General features: G+C 36.1%; 1 annotated feature.

The window, feature by feature from the left end:
* Nucleotides 542-2,425: an enhancer, noted in NCBI's record as "VISTA enhancer hs572". NCBI's record gives its function as "enhancer in: neural tube[6/9] | hindbrain (rhombencephalon)[6/9]" and the evidence as "EXISTENCE:transgenic organism evidence [ECO:0001131][PMID:17130149]".

Below are 3,933 nucleotides of genomic sequence, written 5' to 3' on the forward strand. Positions count from 1 at the left end.
ACTTGCAATAACACATTATGCAAAATAGAAAAAAATAAAATTCAAACCAAACACATGTGGTCAAAAATTGCATTGCTTGATAAAAACAGACTTTCCCTTTAACTAATGAGTCTAGAGGATGTATTTACAGGGCTATCAAAACAATCGGAAACATCATAAGGCATAACATTTGTTTGCCTTCTCAGGAAAGTAACTGTGCAGGCTTATGGATCATCTAAATTAGACTTCACTATTTTGATGTCCTTGCCATTTGTTCTTTTAAATTTCCAGCTTAGGGGGTATATTCGCCATCAGCGTGCATGTGTAAGTACCATTAAGGCTAATAGGAATTTGGTGCCTGAATCCAAAGAAAAATCTGTCTCTGAGATGGCATTTTGCACGTGTAATGCACAAGAAAAATAACTAAAAAAAATCGATTTCTCTCCATCCAAAGCATATAAAACAATTATATTAATTATAAGTACAAGATAAAACACTTGCTTGTGGAATTTTAAATCAATTTAATACATTTGCAATTTTACGCATTTCTCTTGCTCAAAATTGCCTTTCCCAAATATGTTGTCTCAGGCTTTGAAGAACCTAGTGATGAATGGAAATCAAGAGAAATAGGAATGGTGGGAGTGCATTTCTCAACACAGTCTTCATTTATTTATATTCTGCAACACATGCACCCATGATGTTTCAAACTTATTTCCACCACATTCAAAATAAAACCTGGAACACAAAACAGCTTGCCTATATTTTCTTGTTTAAGACTCTATCTCCTGAGCTTTCCTTTGTATCTCAGTTCCTAACCACATAAGACATTTTCAGGCAAGAGTCGGTATTCAAATGAGATGTTAATTTAAAAAATTGTTACATCCTTCTGTTTATTTTGGTAGAAGGGAAATATTGGTTCTTCGAGTTGCATTAAAACCTAGATAAAAACCAGTTTTTATCTTTATACATCTTTCGGAAAAAAAATTCTACCTCAAGAAATTTCTTTAACAAAGAGAACATTATTTCAGACTCTAACATTTCTGTCTGCCGATTATCATTAGTCATAAGCTAAGCCCTGCACTAAATGTCTAGTGAGCACAGATAATGTTCATTTTGTCTGGAAGACAGGTTGCCGCCTGTCAAGGAGAGACGGAATAAATGACAGGTTTTGACTCTGTGCCTTGCAGGCATATTAGGCTAAGAAATCGCCAACATGATGAAAAATTATTTTGTCAAAAATTTGTAGGTCACCCATCATTGTCTAATGTATTCTGTGATTAATTGCTAGCATAGATCAGCATTATGTCTTTCCAGTGAATCGCTTAATTGTTGCCTGCTTCATGCTCTTAATGTAATGATGAGGCATCTGCTCCTTTCACATGTGCTTTTAAATGCCAGCTTTTGCATCCAGGTTACAGGGTTGGTAATATTCAACTTAAAGAACTAGTTCAAATTAAAACTTCAGGACCGCCATCTCTTTTTGCTTTTTATGGGAGCGTGCGTGGAAGGCTGAGTGTTAGTGTTAATGTATGTAGATTTTATTTCTGATGAGTGATTATTTGACTGCTCATTTTAGGAAGATTTATGGTGTGCTTTCTATCTCCTGACTGCAGTGCTACTCTTATCTTTAATAAAGGAGATGAGGACATTAATCAGCCATTGTCAGGGCTCCTGACTAAGACATTAAATGTACTGTATGAGATAGGTAAACACGCTCCAGATCCTTCTCTACTCCACTAGATCAGGCAAAAAAACACTCATTATATTTATCATAATTTCACATCTGCTGTTTTTGAAGCAATGTACCATGAGGCCATAAACTGTATTACAACTGTGCATAAATTCAACTGATTTGTGGCTGGAGTAACTAATTCCTAAAGTACATTTTAGAAAAACAAGCAGTGAGCCCTGAAATTGCAATTCCATAAAGGCACTAAATTACTGACTGCAGAATCAAAAATTTGCTTGATGTGATTCTGCAGTGACCATTTTATAAAAAGTGACAGTGCGCCTGTGATTGAGTCAATAAAATAAGGACGAGTGAGCTGTACACTCAAACAAGATTAAAGAGAAAGGGAATGACGGAGAACAGACTCGTGGTGTACAAATCGAGAAAAGCATAACGTCTCCCCCAAAATGGCTGACGGAGGCAACTATTAATAGCAACAATATTGATTTGTCAGTAATCTTTTCATTATTTTGGAGGTGAAAGAAAAAAATGTAATCTGTCTCTCTTTTATTCATTTCACAGCATAATAGGGAGCATACTTAATATTTAACTAAATGGATTTAGAAATAATTTTTTTAATTGCGGCAATAGCTATTGACTTAAGCTTGCCATAATATTTTCCAAAATTGTAAAGGATATTTCTCTATGGGTTATTTACTTGTCTTCTTGGCTTTTAAAGGTGTATGTCCAAGTAATCTCTTTGTTAGGGCATCTTGCTGTATTTGGGTAGAAAATGTGTGTGTGTGTGTTTGTGGAGGGGGGAGTGCAGTGTCTATTTCTACATGTGCTTTTGTCCTTGTGTGTATGCCTCACTTAATTTCTTACAAACTTGATCTGCACCTGAACTTGCTATAATGTCTTCTCCAAACGAGAAAGGAGAGCAGAGAGTGATTCGTACAGGACAAGTAAAACCAGAAACACCATTGTTTTTGAAGACAAAACACACTTGACATTTGTGAAGATGAAAGCCCAAGGCAGACCTGACACTTGGAATCCTGAATAGAGAGGTGTGAGCCCACAAATGAAACCTGCTCAGGGTGGCAACCACGTATGTTCTCCTGGAAGTAGGATGTGATTATGTGATTATTTATTAACTGGAAAAAGCAATTTAAGAGAAAAATAAATGGAACTGGGCTTTCATTGCTTGGGTTTCTCAAGATATACATCGCCTTTCACCAATTATTTCATGCACCTCTGCTGTGGTGGTAGAAGTGCCACCGACGTGCTTTTGTTTAGTTTGACTATGATACATATGCATTATTTGTTTAACATTCTGTGTTTGGAGGCTCCTTCTCACTGAATGTTGGCAATTATTCACTACCCAGGGCAAATTGTGGAGGGCATTTACACAGAACATATTTTAGAGTGGTATAATCCTATTTGATTTTGTTTACAGAGGAATGTATTTTGCCATATTTTATCCTTCTCCCTGGCCACTATCCTGGTCAACTTTTATAACTGCAAATCTGGAGCTGGCACACTGAATATTGCTCTATTCTTTACATATAATATCAAGTCAAAAATGGTTGTGTTCATAAGGCATTGCATAGTTTCTATCTAATGGTATCAATCTGTGCATCTCAGAGCGTTTCTTTTCCTGACATTATTACTTTACTGAAATTAAGCTTGAAACAATCTGATGTCAGATACTGTATATCTACTTTTATTGCCAGGCTTTCTGAGCCCACCATATTGCCAGGACTGCATCTCATTTTAGATGGGTTTAACCAGATATATATTCTCAAGTTTATTGAGAGTTGGATAGATTACATTTCCCATACTCAAAGAGCAGGCTGGTCCTTTCAGTGCATTTTATAGAACAAATGTAAATTCCCATGCTGCAGTTGACAAAAATTCATGGTTCTTTTCTTAGTGTCAAAAATAAATCCAGCATAGCATTGGAGATGAGTGAGTGTGGTATAGTGGAGCAGGCTTCAGTTCACCCTTTCTGATTTAGCAGCAGTTTCGATGTACTTGAGAAATCTGTAAAAGTTCAATTATTATGGTCTAGCCAAAGAGATTTGCTCACACAACAGAGCTACTGTACTTGAGAATGAATTGTAAGACTCAATGAAATGCAAAGCACTTTCTGAGCATAGCAAGCTCTTTTACCTTCCATCTCCATTTTCCTCCATCTTTTCCCCATCTACTTATATCCTTACATGAAGCTTATTCTGAAGGCTTTCACTGTAGTTAAATAAAACACAAGCATAAAAAATTGCCAA

This window comes from Homo sapiens, chromosome 15, assembly GCF_000001405.40.
Source record: "Homo sapiens chromosome 15, GRCh38.p14 Primary Assembly".
NCBI classification, from domain to species: Eukaryota; Metazoa; Chordata; class Mammalia; order Primates; family Hominidae; genus Homo; species Homo sapiens.